This window comes from Homo sapiens, chromosome 10 (assembly GCF_000001405.40).
Source record: "Homo sapiens chromosome 10, GRCh38.p14 Primary Assembly".
NCBI classification, from domain to species: Eukaryota; Metazoa; Chordata; class Mammalia; order Primates; family Hominidae; genus Homo; species Homo sapiens.
The window spans coordinates 20,595,356-20,613,624 of NC_000010.11; the positions used below are offsets into that span (position 1 = coordinate 20,595,356).

Consider the following 18,269-nt stretch of genomic DNA (forward strand, 5'->3'; position numbering starts at 1 on the left):
CCTGTAATCCCAGCTACTTGGGAGGCTGAGGCAGGAGAATCACTTGAACCCAGGAAGTGGAAATTGCAGTAAGCCAAGACTGCACCACTGCCCTCCAGCCTAGGCAACAGAGTGAGATTCCATCTCAAAAAAAAAAAAAAAAAAAAAAAAAGGGAAGAAAAAAAAAAAAAAGACACTAATACCCAGGAGCAGTGATTCACATCTGTAATCCCAGCACTTTGAGAGGCCAAGGCAAGCAGATCCCTTGAGCTCAGGAGTTCAAGACCAGCCTGGGCAACATGGCAAAACCCCATCACTATTTAAAAAAAAAAAAAAAAAAAAATTAGCTGGGCATGATGGTGCATGCCTGTAGTCCCAGCTACTCTGGGGACTAAAGCAGGAGAATCTCTTGTGCCTGGGAGGTTGAGGCTGCAGTGAGCCACGTTCCTGTCACTTTACTCTAGCCTGGGTGACAAAGTGAGACCCTGTCTTAAAAAAAAAGACACTAATAGAGAATGAAACATATTCAATGAAACAATATTTTTCATATTTCTTTTTAAGTGTGCTCATGTAGAAAATGTGTGAAAATCCATCTCAAAAAGCCTTGAAATAATGAGAATATATTACTTGATATGAATTTATAGGTCATTTACTTAGGTTTCTACATCAATTTATTGATCCTTAGACTCTAAGTTTGAGAAAAAGTTTAAGACGGGTTATTTAGATGACACTTATCTTCCTCTTGTTTTATTCATCTTATATGGAAATACATTACTTTTGCCTGTCACTTTTGTTAATTAGCTTTATCAATAGGCATAAACTGTATAGCAAGCTGAAATAACTGGATCTTATGTGGTATCTTTTAGCTACATCATTTAAGGCAGTTGATATTTCTATAAACAACATTTTTATGCACTTTCATGTTTGTGGTTAACCTGTTAAAGCTATTCTTCCCTTTTGTATTTCTCTATGTCATTATGAGGCAGTGTCTAAAGAAAAGATACATTTGACTGATAAATCCAAGGTTATCCAACATTAAGAAAAAAACATATATATACCCCAAAGGTTCAATCTAATGATATCAGGATCTAGGAATGAGGAGGCCTGGTCCCATAAACCCCTTGAAAACAATACATTTGATGAGGAACTTTTAATAACTCTCATCCTTAGCAATCATTTGTATGAAGAGTTCAGTGAGTCATAGCTGACCAGGGAAATATCTCACAACAATGCAGTCTGATAGCCAAGCACCCTGCTTTCATTCCTTGTAAAGTAAAAAACACTTGTCTAAACACTCTCAATGTAACACCATTATTCTCTTTTTTTCTTTTTGAATGGTAAATGACAGTATCAAAAAATCATGGAATTAAAATAGCAGCTCCTTTCTTTTTCGTGCATTTTTATCTAAATGAAATCTGCCATACTTCAGGGCCTATGTTCAGTGTGATACTTTTGTGGAGGCTCAGTCTATAGCCAAAACTGTGTGTGTTGATACTAAGATTCTGAAAACCTTCATTTTTTTATCTTTCAATTCTATTCATTATACTGAGACATTTATTTTCCAGAAGCAAAAAGGATGGATGTTAAAGTTTTTTTTCTGATTTGTACTTTTGATTCACGATCTGATTTTTCATAAAGAAGCCTCGACAGGGTTTGTTTTCCTATTGAAGATCTCACATTCAAGTCTTCACTGTCAAGAGCAAGCAGGGGATAGAATGTACCAAGTAACTTAGCAACCATCCAAATTCCATCCACATTCCAGGCCTGTGCTCCAGTTCTATGGGAAACACCATTCAATCCAGAAATAGACAAGAAAGAGGGTTGAAACCTTCATGACAATGCTAGAGAATTAACAGTGAGAGATGCATTAAGCAACAACACAGTTTTGCCTTTTACAAGCTCCCTGAGGTTTTTATTTCAGTCAGAGGACCAAGATTTCAGTTCAAGTCACTGGAAGAAAAGAGCTGTCATTTATGGTAAGAGAACAAATTTAAGGAGCAGAGGGAATTAAAAGTTCAGTTCTGACATGTTAAGTTCCAAACACCTTAATGGGTGTTTTCTCCAAAAGAGGATTATAGTCAGCAAGTAATTTTCAGGTGAGAAGGTGAGAGGGGTGAAGGAGAGGTAAAATGCTTGAGCCCCAAGGCATGCCAGCCTTTAGACACCTAAAGATGAGCATGAATGAGCTAAGGAGACTGAAAAACAGGTCAGTGATAGGGATATGCTAAAAGTTCAAGAAATTAAGTGTTAAAAAAGAAGAGTGATCAACTGAACAAGTACCGAAATAGGTAGGCAAGATGACAACGATATTGATTCTGGTAACAGAAAAGTCTTTGGGACATTAACAAGAGGCCTTCAGAGCAGTGCACGGGACAAAAGTCTGATGGGAGGGCCTTCTAGGGTGACTGGAAAGGCAGGGAGATCCCTTTTGTTACTTCCGGTGTGTAGCAGGAAAAGTAATTAACATATGGAGAATTCACAATCTTGCACTGCCTTTAACTTTGTGATTTTCGATGAACATTTACAATTAAAAAGTTAAGCTATATGATCTTTACCCTTCATTTGAACATTTTCTAGTCTATAATCCCTCCTTAAATAATGCTTTCCCAAATTTGACTTTAGTTTCTTAACTGTTTTTTAGATTTAAATATGCCTGCTTTCTCTGCGTTCTGTTCTCTATCTCTCTCTCTTCCCCCCACCGTGTGTGTGTGTGTCTGTGTGTGTCCGTGTGTGTGTTGCTGAGTCTCCCTTTAAGTCAGGTAGAAGAGGAAAACTACCATATTACCATTAATAAGTCCATTATAAATTATGAGCTAATATTATTTAAAACATAGATGAAAATAAAAAATTCAAAACTTTTGAAATGGGAAACAATCATGAAATTTCTGTCCAGGCTATTTTCTATGACATTATAAAACTAAATAGCCCCTCCTGAATTTAACATTACTATTTTGTCTTAGGCTTTTTAAAAAATACAGATATGTAGGCAAATAATTCTTCTACTCAAACATATCCCTACTTTATAAGGTGGCTTTCGTGCCACTTACTGAGTAATTTTATATTCGTGAAGTGCTTTGAGCTACGCAGGAAATCTGTGAAAAATGAATAAAGAACCAGCTATGTCTTCAATTTACTCCAAGATGGAATGAAACTTTTCATCCTGATTAGGGAATAAATATTAAATATAGATAATCTTGGATTCATGTTATGATGTGAACCTGTATGTCTCTCTTTCACTGACAAAATATACAGAAACACTTTATGGGACATTAATTCTTAAAAACCATGTCAAAATATAGGTCCATGGTGGAATCATTCTAAGGTGGCTCTCCAGTGCATCCTGCAAGGGTAGGGTAGGGAGGAGGCCCCCCAGCCTCTGTGTCCTAGCCTGGTAGCAGCTGTCGTCTGGGCAGCAAGGATGACTCACAGGGCTGAGATCCCACCAGGCTCTTGCACCGGGGAGAGCCTTGGAGAGCTGAGTCATGAGCCAGGATAATAAGCCAGAATTCACTTCCAAATCTGACTCAGAGCACAGGAGCTACCGAGACCAAAACATGTGGCCACTTGGGTGTAGCATTTGGTGCCCCTTCAAATCAATGTTCTTTAATACATGGTAAGAGACAGGACATTCTCTTCTATTGCTCAGAGCAATTTAGCTCTGGTAACACGCTTAAAACCTCACCCAGCAAAACTGAAGCTTTCCAACTATATTCCCATCCTCCTGAGAAGGTACTTTAGGAATAAGGGCCATATATTGTTACTAAAACATGACTCTACTGTGACCAAGGCATACCCCTCTTATTTCCTCTTTTACATAGACTTTAAACTGTAGACTATAAAGAATAGACTTCACTTTTAGAGCTGTTTAGGTTTATAGAAATATTGAGCAGAATGTATAGAGTAATATACCCCCTCGCCTACTCCAGTATAGTTTCCCTTATTAGTATCTTGCACTAGTCTGGTACATTTGTTACAAATGATGAATCAATATTGATACATAATTAACTAAAGGCCATAGTTTAAATTAGAATCAACTCTTTGTTGCACAACTCTATAGGTTTTGAAAAATGCTTAATGTCATACATTCATCATTATAGTATCATACAAAATAATTTCACTGTCCTAAAAACCTAGCATGCTTTACCTGTTCATTTCTCCATTTTCCTTTTGATGTAGTTTATCAAAGTATTCCTTACAAACGTTATCCCTCTCATCACATTTTCAGTGATGTTTCATTACCGGGGAGGTATTTTAGTATCCCTTACAGAGAAACAACTATCCAGCTGGTCCAATAGTAATCAGATTCTCACTCTATGGATGGAAAAATTGCCAGCTTCCCTTTCAATCTTACTGAAATAGAATTTCAAAAATTATGTCTAACAAGTGAGAAGGTGATAGGTGATTGCCATGGTGGGAATATGTCCCACAAAGTTCATGTGTTGGAAGCTTAATTCCCCATGCAACAGTGTTGGGAGGCAGGGCCTAATAAGAGGTAATTGATTAGGTCATGAGGACTCTGCCCTCATTAATGGATTAATGTCATTATTGAGGGAGTGGATTTGTTATTACAAGAGTGGGTTGTTATAAAAGTAAGTTTTGCCCCTTCTTGCTCTCTCTTACTCTCATACTGTCTTGCCCTTCCACCTTCTGCCTTGGATGACACAGCAGGAATGCCCTCACCAGGTGTTGTCACCATGGTCTTGAAATTCAAGATTCCAAGATTCCAAGATTTTGGATTCTCTAGAATCATAAGACAAATAAAGTTACATTGCTTACAAATTACCCAGTCTCAAGTATTCTGTTACATAGAGTACTCAAGAATTTTCTTAAACACAAAATGGACTAAATATGACTAGTGTTTATACTCAAGTTTGAAGAACAGCAAGAAAGATGAGGTACAATACTCATTAAAATTTTCATCATGCTAAATTCACAGAAATACTGAATAGAAGACAGAAAAAGGGGCAATGCCATCATTAAGGCAAGGTTAAGTTACATATCAAATTCTGGTTTCCTTTTACTAAGTTCTCTTGAAGAAGAGTGGGTCTCTTCCTAAAGCAAGTTCAAGTTTCCTTCTCTACAGGGAGGCATAAGTTCCAATCACTTGCCACAGTTGTATTCAGGACACGAGTTAGGTTTTTATAAGATATGTAGGCCTAAATATAATGGAAAGGCAGATCCATAATTCAGAGCACACAAAGAGTTTCCCAAATGACCCAAGCTTGGGATACTCTGTCTTGCATTTTGAACATCATGCTTATAGGAAAACTTTGATGGGGGGTAGGAAATGAGCTGAAACATTTGGGTTGTGAAATATCAACATAACTCAAGCTTTTCAGATTGATGCAAAATAGCATGAAGGAGAGACAGAGTGTAGTCACACTGAAAAAAGATATTTATAATCAGAGCTGAATTCAAATCCAGTCCCAGCCACTTAGTAGCTGTGTGACCTTGCCTAGCTTATGAACTCTTAGAACATCAAAGTTTTTCCATCTTTAAAATGAAGAAAATAATTATTTTGATAATTTAGATCAACAATACTGAGAGCTTGGCTCCCAGTAGGTTAGAACAAAAACATTAACTACTATATTTTTATTCACAAAAAAGAAAATTTATTACCATGTAGCCTATTAAGTGTATATGTTTTAACAGAAGTTTTTGCTTTCTATAGAAAAGCTTCATCACTGAATTATCTGTTTCTCTTAGCACAGTGTGCTTTGTGTTTGGCTGATTGTTCGTTGTGCTTGGTGAAAAATGTTTTCACTATTTAATTTGATTGAATTATTCTATTGCAATAAATAGACAGCCTGTAGTGAAATAATGATTCATTTCTCATTAGCAGAAATGAGTTTTGCATCACAAACATGAATTATTTTTTGAACTTAGAGAACGGTGTTTGAAAGAAATGATGACAGTAGCAGAAGTATAGTAACTTTCTAAGCCAACAAAAAGTAGGATTTCAAATATAGATGATTATTTTTTGGGAGAAAGAAAAAGGAAGCGAGTAGCAAAGTTTCATTTTAGCCAGCTTTTCCTTCTGTAGGAAAATAGGCTTGGAGTTCACCCTTATCCTTCCCAAAACGTAAATGGCAAAAGATGTCTGCCCAAGACACAGAGAAGCATGAACTGGACCTTCTTAAAGCCAATTGTTTTCTTATTAGTTTTCCACCCCCTTCCTCCTCGTGGGAATTATTGCTGAACTTTAATTTCCCACATCTACAATGAAGTTTAGAAAAAAAATTAAGGGATCAAAGAGAACTTTCAGATAAAATGAAACATTTTCCCTCATGAAGCAGCAAATGTTTTATGTAAAACAAGCAAACAGACAGTTAAGAAGAAAACATTATGTGTTAGCCAGAGAACTCAAAAACAGCAAAATTCATTTTTAACAATTTCTTTGGCTTTAATCAAAAGCATTTTTTATTGCAAAATCTGTTTTTCATTTAGCTGTCACATTACTGCTTGTCATTAATTTATTGTTTATGAACCCCAAACCAAACATTTTTCTGTATGTGGGCAAATATTATTGGCAAATTAACATATCACCAGGGTTGGCACAGAGAAATAGCTAATCAATTATTTAGAATTTTTCTCATGATCATTCTTGTTTTTCTGACTTTAATAGATCTTAACCAAAAACTATTAATAGAAATATTAGAATTGAAGATATAGTACAACTAAATTAGAGACATCACAACCAAGCCACTGGATCAACTGGTTCATCACTGTGGTGACTGAGAGGCAGAGAAAAACTGGATCAATTACACAGAGCCACAGAATATTGTAAGAGGGAAAAGAGAATGGACAAGAGCCAGGCTCTTATTCAAAGCCAGAGCAGATACACTTTCTGTTTCCTTCATTAGAAATTCAACCATTGGTCCAGTGTTGGCTCTTCAAACATGTCATTATTCACTCAATAAAGAAATTATGCTGGGTGTGGTAGCTTACATTCATATCCCAGAGCATTAGGAGACCTGGGTGGGAGGATTGCTTGAGGCCAGCAGTGCCAGACCAGCCTGAACAAAAATTAGCAAGCATGGTGGCACACACCTATAGTTCCAGCTGCCTGAGAGACTGAGGCAGGAGGATTACTTGAGTCCAGGAGTTTGCGGCTGCAGTGAGCTATGATTGCACCACTGCACTCCAGCCTCAGCAACAGAGGGACGACCTGTCTCTAAAATAAATCAATAAATATTGACACCTATGATGTACCAAGACTATTGAAAGTACTGAGAAGGCAGTAGGGGAAAAAAAGTGGTAAGACCTCAGTTCTCAGGGGCCTCACATTCCAATGGAACTGGAAGAAAAAAAAATTTAACACATAAATATACATTTCAGGGAATGGAAAGCTCTAAGAAGGCAGATAAAAAAGAGAAAGGGATAAACGTGCTGGAATGCACTATTTTAGGTAAGGTGATAGGGAAGGCCTGTTAGAGGAGACCTTTACAAGAAGCCTGAATGACGTAAGGGAATGAACCACATACGTATTGGAGGGAAGAGCATTCCAGGCAGAGGGAACATCAAGGACCAAGATGCTGAGGAAGGAGTATGCGTGGGGTATTCTAAGACCATCTGAAAGGCTGAGGAAGCTTGCCCAAAGTGAGCAAGGGGGAAAGCGATCGAGGTTGAATATTCCAAATCCAAACTTTGAAATGCTCCAATGAGCATTCCTTTGAGCATCATGTTGGCGCTCAAGACTTTTGGATTTGGCAGCATTTGGATTTCAGATTTTTAGATTTGGGACACTCAACCAGTAAGGATAATGTAAATATTCCAAAATCCAAAAAAACTCCAAAATCTGAAACATTTCTGGTCCCAAGCATTTTAGAGAAGGGATTCTTAACCTGTGGTAGGTCTTTTGATCTATGGTAAAGAGTGGTGATTTGACTCTGATTGACATGGGAAGCCTTGGAGGAAGGTCAGCAGGCAGTGACTTGCTCTGATGTTGAGTATAATGGGCTGTTTTTGCTGCTGTGTGAAAAATGGACTATTGAGAAGTAACCAGGGAAATCAGAAAACAAGGTGAGAGGCTTTTGCAATAGACAGACAATAGGTGCTTGGTGGCTGGGACTGACAGTCATGAAGTCAGACAGAAAAGGTCATACTGGGGATACGCTTTGAGGGCAGAGCCAACAGGAATGGATGCCAGGTATGGAAAGAGAAGACTCAAAGATGACTTCAAATGTATTGACTGGAACAATTACAAAAATGGGGTGGCCATTTACTGAAAATGGGATTGTGGGCAAGGAACAAGTTTGGGTACTGGGGAATCCAGGCTTAAGTTTGAAACTTGTTTTGTTACACTGGATTATCTTATTAGACATCCAAATGGAGTGTCCAGCAGTCACCTAAATACACAAGTTAGATGTTTAAGGGCGTGGTCAGAATTAGATAACTACATCTTGGAGACATCAGCATATTGGTAGTATTTAAACTATGTCATTACCCAGGAAATGAGTTTTGATAGGAATAGTCATCAGCCTGGATAATTGACCTTACTGACAGAAGACTTCCTTTTCTGTTTTTTCCCCCTTTTTCTGTATCACCACCAATGTAAAGACTTAAAATAACAATCTTGAAGAAATGACTACAACCTAGAAATTCAGTAGTTACTAGGAAGATGCATGTCTTTGTAAGTTATAGTGACTCCTTAGAGTAAAAAGTGTTGTCATAATTTAAAAACCAAAATCCATCTCATCCTGTAAGTCTATAGTGCCATGGAAACCACTCTGGACTGGATGGTCAGAATCCAGCCACTTTCATTCCCAGAGTCCCAGTTCCTCAACTGAAAATCTAGTGGTAGGATACTAAGTTTCCTTCTTATTTCAAAAGCTGATTCTCTTTTGTTTTACTCTTTACCGTATGATAGTAGATAGACTATTTTACTGTATTTCACTCTTTATTTTACTACAAGAGGCAGTAAAATATTGTGTGTGTTATGTGTATGTGTGTGTATACACTCATGCCTCACTTAACAAGGATACATTCTGAGAAATGCATCATTAGGCAATTTCATTGTCATGCAAACGTCATAGAGCATATTTACACAAACCTAGATGGTATAGCATACTACACTTCTAGGCTATATGGTGTAGCCTATTGTTCCTAGGCCACAAACTGTACAGTGTGTTACTATACTGAACACTGTAGGCAATTGTTAGACAATGGTAAGTATTTGTGTATCTAAACATAGAAAAGGTAAAGTAGGCTGGGAACAGTGGCTCACGCCTGTAATCCCAGCACTTTGGGAGGCCAAGGTGGGTGGGTCACCTGAGGTCAGGAGTTTGAGACCAGCCTGGCCACCATGGTGGAACCCCATCTCTACTAAAAATACAAAAATTAGCCGGGTGTGGTAGCGGTTGCTTATAATCCCAGTTACTTGGGAGGCTGAGTCAGGAGAATCACTTGAACCCAGGAGGCAGAGGTTGCAGTGAGCCAAGATCATGCCATTGCACTCCAGCCTGGGCAATAAGAGTGAGACTTCAGAAAAAAGAAAGAAAGGAAGGAAGGAAGGAAGGAAGGAAGGAAGGAAGGAAGGAAGGAAGGAAGGAAGGAAGGAAGGAAAGAAAGAAAAAGAAAGGGAGGAAGGGGAAAACACGGCGTTATAATCTTATGGCACCACCATTATATATGCAGTCCATTGTCGACTAAAACGTTATGGAGCTCACGACTATACATATATATATACAGAGAGGGGGGTCTAACAAAATGCTTTTCAGAATTTATACGTCCTTTCTTATCTTATGTTCACACTAAAAACAGTTTTCTTCTTCCATTTTTCCAACTTCCCAACTTCTTTCCAACTTTCATCTTATGATTTTCTGGACATCGAAGCTATCAGGGGTAATTCAACTCATCAATAGATTTCTGTTCGTTGAACTGAAGCTGTGAGTCCAGCATTCTGGGAATTCCACTGTCAGTAGTTATGTGCTGTTTCTCTCCACAATTTAACGACTGATTTTCTGCTATAAGTTTTAGCTTGTACAATATACAGTACTGTATCACCTTTCATTTTATCAAAACTGTAAACATCGAATTACATACAGTCCCCAAAGGCATTGCTAAGCTATGTGGAATTCATGTTGAGCCATCAGGATACGTTAGGTCAACATATTCTTATTCCCTACCCTACTCCTTTCCTAAATATTGATACCAAGATTTCCTGAGGTCATAGGGAGAAGATGATAGAGGAATTTAAAGTTAGTCAAGCAAATTAAATCACAACATTGAAAAATCTTTGATACCTATATTAACCACAATGGATTAATTATTTCTAAACCTCTACATTTTACAAAACATAGTTAACGAACGAATAAAAGACAACTTGTTTAAAAGCATTTCTTAAGCCAGCTCAAATACTTACATACAATTATAGGGATTTTTTTCCATTTAGGCCCTATCTTAGGCTATTTGGTGTGCTCTCATCTCACACGCACACGTATACATCACCACAGTTATGTACTACATTATACTAAAGGGGAATCCTCAAAAGGAATTGTTACCTACAAGAACAATAGGAACAAGCACAATACAATAGGCACAATAGGAAGGAAATGGGAAAAAATGGTGCTTCTATACAATGGAAAAATGGGTACTCATTAAACGTCAGGCCTTGAAAATTATTTAATGATATTGGGAAATGTTTCTGATACAATGTTAAATGAAAAAATGTACAAAAACAATAGGATTTCAACATTTTTACAAAGAAATATATGTATTTCAAGCTAGTAATGATTTTAAGAGGCCAAAAGGAAATACAGATTCTCTAAATGATAGAATTATAAAATTTTACTTTTATTATTTATTCTAATAAGCATGTATTATTTTATGTTGAGAAAAAATTTTAGATGGGTTGGAAATGTAAAATCATTCAAATATTGAGATTACATTGTAAATAATACTATGGAGGTGGCAGAATATCATTTGTTTTTTCAATATTGCTGTAATTTTATACTCACCATTGTACCTAATGTCCTACAGCTCTCTACTTACAGGTAAATTGTCTTGTGATTATTTCCACAGAACTCTGACTTGGATAAGGTGAGCTATGCTGTTATATATGTCTAAACAAATAAATCTTCACACAAATCATAAAGGTCCATTGAATTTAAATGATGTGAACTCCAGAACCCTGTTCATAAAGTTTTATCCTATATCCACTCATGGATTAATCTGGACCAAATGATCAAGGATACGCAGATTACATGCCTGGTTTGAATTAACCCAGAAGGAAAGCCTGCTCTTCATGAGTCTGAGATACTAAGGAATGCACATGTTTACAATTCTCAATAATGCATATTTCACATTAATTCCTAAAATATAATATAATATGTAGCAGGCATTAGTGTGATACATTTGTTTGTAAGTGTAAGGATTGCTGCATGTTTATTAATTGAGGCAGAAATTAATCTTAGAATGCATTATCTCTGATTTTACTTTTATTCTAAAAGGAAGACAGAATAATTTCTGATCTGGTCATGCTTAGAGAAATAAAATCTAAAAATTGAAACATAAGCAACCCAAACACAGAGATGGTAGAGGGAAGAATTATATTGAGTCTATTTTAAATATTGAAAAGTGAAACAGATTATCAGAAGCCAAACTTTGTAAGCCTGCAATTTTTTTCTTGCTTAATTTCATAAGCTTTTGACACTAAATGAATGCACATTTAATCTCTTGATGTTTATTTAATTACAGACTTGTATCCATTTTATTACGATGTTCTTCTTTTTTACAATTTAGTTCCCCAGAGGGCAAGACCAAGGTCAGTTTAATCTGAAGTCTTTCGTACTTGATAAAAATGTCACTGTAATGAAAACTTGACCGCAATTATAAAGATGACATCATTATGATGATGATTATGATAATAATGATGACGATGATGATGACTTTGCCATTGCTTTGCAGAAAAGGGTAAAGAAAATTCATCCTATAATCTTAAAACAGTTTCACTGAGATAATGTGGTATTATTAGTTCAAAGTCATTGCACCCATTTTTCTGGAAGACCCCAAATCATTGCGAAAGTACAGACAAAAGGAAGAGGTACTAACAGTTTCCCTACAAGTGGCTTCCAGGCAACACATTCTGGGTTTTGTTGTTGTTGTTGTTTTGTTTGTTTTGAGATGGAATCTGGCTCTGTCACCCAGGCTGGAGTGCTGTGGCTGGATCTCTGCTCACTGCAACCTCCACCTCCCAGGTTCAAGTGATTCTCCTGCCTCAACCTCCTGAGTAACTAGAATTATAGGCCTGCACCAACATGCCCGGCTAATTTTGTATTTTTAGTAGAGATGGGGTTTCATCACGCTGGCCAGGCTGTCTCAAACTCCTGACATCAAGTGATGTGCCCACCTCAGCCTCCCAAAGTGCTGGAATTACAGGCGTGAGCCACAATGCCCAGCAATTCTTGAACATAAAAATAAATAATAAATAAAACTGAATTCCTCCCAATCTATCATAGAAGCTCTTTGATAACATGAGTCAATCAAATAAATAAGAATAATAGGATTTTGACAAAAGAAGACATTTATCTATTCCCAGAGAAACATATTGGTCACACAACTTATAAATTGCCAGTTGAGGTTCTCCATTCATCACCAAGATTTCCATGTAATGACAGGGAAATAATTACCATACCTCTCCCATGTCATGCAATCTTTTGATGTGTCAGGAAGTCAAACAATACGTAAATTCAGCCCTCAGTGTGTGGACAACACCTGTGGAGTGGGCAGATTTTTTTTTCACTAACAGCAGCTAATTTCTCTCCTGAGTAGGCATGGAATCTTTGTAGCAGGTCTACGGCTTCCGGAAAAGCTGCAGAGAGCCTTCCCTGGAAAATCAAGGATGTTTAATCTTGAACCTTTCGACAATCTATCACAACCCTTTCTCCACTAAAACGTCCAGAAAAATGTGCTAATATTTGTTTTTTAAAAAATCATAGATTAGAAGCTCCAGATTCAGCTCCAACTCACCGGTTCTCTTCAGCTTAAAAACAGAATTTTCTCTTACCTGAAACCTATAGGCATCTATTAGCATCAAATTTCACTATTTGAATAGGTAGTAGGGTCTTTGCTCCCAAATGATACATATTTTTACATGTATATAATTTTAAATTAAAATGTAAATATAAAATATATAAATAGTATACATATGCATAATTGGTATAAAATATAAATTTTACATATATAGAGAAAGAGAGAAAAAGAGAGAAAGTGAACCTGTCCAGAAATGAAAGAGTGAAAATCAACTCAGATTGAAAAAGAAACAAGGAGTCCTTCTGCTAATCCAGTGGAGAGGACAGCTACATAAGGCCAGCTGTGTAATTAACAGGAAACCCAATTTTCCCAAGGTCATGCAGCAGCTGCTCAATGCCATAACAACCCTCTTCCTGAATCACCTCTGCCTTGTCACTAATGATGCTCACAGACATGCTTTGCTGTAACTCATCTATTCCTGGGGATCCAGAATTGCTAAATGTCCTTGCCTCATGACATGGCATAATCCCTAATCTTCATTTGTCCTAATCCAGAACTGATCCCCACTGGCTTCTGCTGGATCCTCCTCCAAGCTCTTCAGTTAGAACCCAGACCTTGTGAAAGACACTTCCTCCTATCATGCAGCACTCCTGGCTCTTCCCAAAGGCCACCCCTTGCTGCATTGACTCAATACATGTGATTTTGTCGGACTCTGGGTTTGTTGATAGTGATTTGTGACTAACCCATTAGCCTGTCACAAGTTGGAGGTTTCACAGAGAGTTGGCTAAGACCTTCGTTGCCATGAACTGAGACCCTAACTCCATAATAATGTGTATGTTTGAGACCCCATGAATCTCACCTACTCAAGACTTCCCTGTCACCAATTGTGTGAGTTTTTCACTGGACCAGGGGTCTGATGACCTTTTTGTCTCTCCTGTGTCAGCTTTATTATTTATCTCTCAGGATTTGGTCGTTATAAATCTGACTTTGTCAGACTATTTGTTCCCGGTGGTCTAGAAAAAAAAATGTACACACACACACACACACACACACACACACACACACACATATAATATACATTTAATTATTTCTTCAGTTCAAAGATAATTTTTTGGGATGAAAGTAAATTTAAAGCACAGATTAAGACACAACTTTCTGGTTATTCAATTGCTTTAACTAACTTACCATAATGGATATATTTGCTATAATTTTGCTACAATAAACTCTTAATCACAAACAAGATAGAGAAGTGAATACACATATATGTAAGAGTGGATACAAACAGAAAGAAAAAATAAAGAATTCATGTGGTGAGCTTATGAACCTTTCTTGAAAAATTCTTTTTTGCAGAATGTATCACTTGCTGAGAATTCTTGATCACCTTTATAAAAATAACGTTTATTGTTCTTTTAGGATTATATCTTTTGTGATGATATGAATGATACATCTTAGCCTCTTTACTTGCTAGATGACTTCTCTTTATTTCACAATCAGATAAGAACAGAGAAGACTCAAGCTGATTAGCACATTTTTTGTTTTCCTCTCAAACTACAGCTACCTAAGATCGGAACCCTCTGATAATTTGTGCTGCTATTTTAAGATCCAGTTCCATTCTACAACTGGCTGAAGCATGAAGTCAACTAAAATAAACTGAATTGAGTGGAACTGAACTGAACTGAAGTGAAATAATGTGATTTCCAGTAAACCTGACACCTTAAGGACAGAACATGAGCCTTGCCCATCTTCCTCCCAGAGGTCCCAGCACAATCACCGACTCACACAATACTCTCAGTGCATGAGTGATGAATTTCACTAACAGCGACCCATCTCTCTACATAATCCACTCCGGTTTCACCAGAGCTGAGAGTATCATGAATTACATCTATAGATAGCTGTAAGCTAATGACCAAAGCACATAACTGAATTCAAACATATTCTTTATTGCAGTCAGATGTGAGAAAACAAAATTTAGAAGACAAGCCAGAAAGGAAATGAAGAACATAAAGAGCCTGAATTCTCATCGTCAATTTTTCCCTGACTGACTCCGTTTTCCTCTCTTCTTTCCATTTACCTTTCTGTTCCCATCCCCATCATTTTTGTAGTGTTTATTGAGTGTCTGCTGCATGCCAGTCAATGTGCTGAGTACTTTTCATGTGTTATACCATTTGATCGTCACAGCAGCACACTATTATAATTATGAATATGATTCCACATACTATATCTAAAATTTAACTTAATTTTACATAGGAGGAAGCTGAGACTTGCCCAAGACTACTCCATTAGTAAGATGTGAACCAAGTGAACCATGTCTGACTCAAACCTAACCCCTGATTCTCTGAATCCATATCACCGTAGAACTCAACAGTGAAATATTGGGGTAGAGGTAATGCTATTAGTACACAAACTATGCACAGATTTACAAGCAACTAAACAGGAACTCATGGCCAGGCACAATGGTTCATGCCTGTAATTCCAGCACTTTGGGAGGCCAAGGTGGGCAGATCACCTGAAATCAGGAGTTCAAGATCAGTGTGGCCAACATGACAAAACCCCATCTCTACTAAAAATACAAAAATTAGCTGGGTGTGGTGGCACATGCCTGTAATCCCAGCTACTCAGCAGGCTAAGGCAGGAGAATTGCTTGAACCTGGGAAGGAGAGGTTGCAGTGAGCCGAGATCACATCACTGCACTCCAGCCTGGGTGACAGAGCAAAACTCTATCTTAAATGAATAAATAAATAAAAATGAAAAAAACAAACAAATGAAAGAAAGTCACGAGCACAACTTCTGACTCCCCCTCCATCTTTTCCATTGTTCCCTGTCTCTCTGCTTAAAAACAATCCGAGTGACTCTCACTTTTTCCTTGTGTCTCCCACCCATCTACCCTACTCTTGCTCTACACAGTTAAGGATTGTTTTGAAATTCTATGGGGAAAAATTATAAAATTTATAATCCCAAAGAGTCCATCCAATTGTCTGTAACAAGATTTAAAGCTTAGTATTATCTCAACCCAAAATTTGACAAATGACAGTTTCCTTGTTGCTTGTACACACGTCACTCCAACAGCTGAAAAGCCAGGATAGATGTTTGCCAGTAACTTCCTTGCAGAGGCCTTAATAAACTTAAGCATGATATATACCAATAACCTAATAAATATATTGAGGGTTTCTTCTTAGCCATATCCTTGATATAAAGTGACATCTGAGTTTTATGACGTTTAAGGTTTTTGCCTTTTCTTCTGTCTTGGTGGCTATTAACTGAGCACATTTCTATTTGTGAATCATAAGCTAATGTATTTACATTTAGGAACAGAAAATCATGTCACTTGATAAGTATGCAGGTGTCATAAGCTCCAGAGCACCAGCAAAAGATGCAGGTGCTGACCACTTTGTTTCATGTCAAAATTCACTGTCTGAAGATGCTCTGTGACCATGAGGCTCATCAAACACTCAACATTCAAAAGAACTCTTACCACATTCACACAGCAAATCAGCAAATCATTTTTAATCATAAATCATCTTTGTTTGAAAACAATTTACTCACTTGAATTCTAGGTAACATTCTAGGTTATGTGTTCATTTAGATGTTCTTCTTTTCCATGGAAATCAATTAAAAACAAATGCACCATCTTGGGAGATGAGCTTAAAAGATTAATGTCAGACTTTTTGAAAAAACAATTACTTGGGCAGAATTATGAATGAACAACGTGTGACGTTTTTGTCATTTTTTTTTTTTGGTTCTTTTATTCTGCATATTTCAGTTTGGCTTTTAATTTCATCAAAATTATAGATGCACATAATTCTTTTAAGCATAGTAGGAAGACCATGGGCTTCCTAATGTGCTTAAAACAGGGTCCTCACACCTTGTCCAATATATCCGAGATTTCTCCCCTTTCTAGAGAAAACTACTTTAAATTCTGATAGATTTTTTGTTGCTGTTGCTCATAGTTACTTCCATAACTCTAAATAGCTCATGCTGTTACTTTTAATATTTCTATTTTGAGGCTATCTAATGGGTTCTCTCTATGGAAAATCAAGATTCACTCTCATTCACTCTCCCTCAACCTGACTGACCCCCAAGTATCATCTTCATTAGTTTAGTTAGATTACTATACAGTATTTACCTTATTATAGTTAGGTCAATGCTGGGTCACATATTAATCTATAATAACTTTTCCTTTTTATGAGCAATATTTTGGTTTTACTTGAAGTTAATCATCACACTTGTGTTTGCTTAGTTGTGCAAATGTCTGTCACTAACTTTGCAAACTTTTCCTCCAGTGTCTAAGCTTCACACATGAGCTAATTTTATTGATTGCATCTTTATTTCATCTCTGGTGACATCTGACCTGTTCTAGTCTGGACAGGTTTCTTCCCAGTCCCCAGCTGGCTCTTTCTTAACCACCAACTTGGGTTTGGATTTCCTATAACTGGATCCTGTGTCTTTATTGCTAGTTTAGTTCATAGTTTTGGTGGAGCATATTCTCAAGACCATCCATGTGTGGAGAACTAATTTGACAAAGACTTGATGTGAACATGTCTCTATTTTCTAATGTAAATCATTTTCCCTTGGGATATCAAAAGTTTACTGCATTGACTTCTTCCCTCTAGTATTGTTTTTGAGGCATCTAAAGCCAATCTGATTCCTGATCCTTCAGAAGAACCTCCTGCTGCTTTGGGGAGAAGGAGGTTCCTCTACCTGGTAGCTTTTGGGTACTCCTCTTTGCCCCCATGGCTGAAATTCACAATGAAGTGCTTGGTGTGGTTTTATTTTTATAGGTTATGCTGTACACTCAATAGGTCCTTATATAGGAAAAAAACAAAAAATAAATAACAAAAAAAACAACAACACTGTTTTCTTCTTGATACGTCACTTTCAATGCATCTGACAAGAGACAGGGGAGGAGTGTTACCACACCAAGCAATTCTCCACTTCTTGGCAGACACCAACTGGGTGCCCCCCAGTTCAATTCAACTCTGACACTAACAGAATCAATGTAGGCCCCAAAGTTTAAAGGTTCAGTCCCACAAGACTGCCCCACACTTTGCAGGCCAGTTGCAAACAGTAGGTTCCCAGATTACCCACAACTTCTGTCCTACTTGGCTACAAACCAGAGTTTCCCACACCCAACTCTGTGGGTTTGACAATTTGCTAGAGTGGCTTATAGAACTCAGAAAAGCACTTTGCTGTTATCAGTTTATTATAAAAAGATACAGCTCAGTAACAGCCAGATGAAGAGATGCCTAAGTTAAGATATGAGGGAAGGGGCACGCAGGCTCCATGCCCTCCATGGGTGAGCCACCCTTCCAGGACCCCCA

General features: G+C 37.4%; 1 long non-coding RNA gene across 4 annotated transcripts, besides 1 other annotated feature; it reads left to right on the forward strand.

The window, feature by feature from the left end:
* On the forward strand, positions 1,655-16,093 carry LOC105376442 (uncharacterized). Of its 4 annotated transcripts, none has more exons than XR_007062080.1 (4): positions 1,655-1,955; positions 10,960-11,019; positions 11,677-11,743; positions 14,506-16,093. It is a non-coding gene; the product is annotated as an uncharacterized LOC105376442 (long non-coding RNA). The 4 variants fall into 4 exon arrangements; XR_930729.3 differs by having other exon boundaries at positions 11,677-11,892; positions 14,506-15,439; XR_007062081.1 differs by having other exon boundaries at positions 11,722-11,892; positions 14,506-15,439.
* Positions 1,698-2,198: an enhancer, noted in NCBI's record as "H3K27ac hESC enhancer chr10:20885982-20886482 (GRCh37/hg19 assembly coordinates)". NCBI's record gives its function as "activates a minimal SCP1, AML or CMV promoter by ChIP-STARR-seq in naive H9 embryonic stem cells {active_cell/tissue: H9 hESC(naive)}" and the evidence as "EXISTENCE:reporter gene assay evidence [ECO:0000049][PMID:30033119]".
* Positions 16,094-18,269: the final 2,176 nt, after the last annotated feature.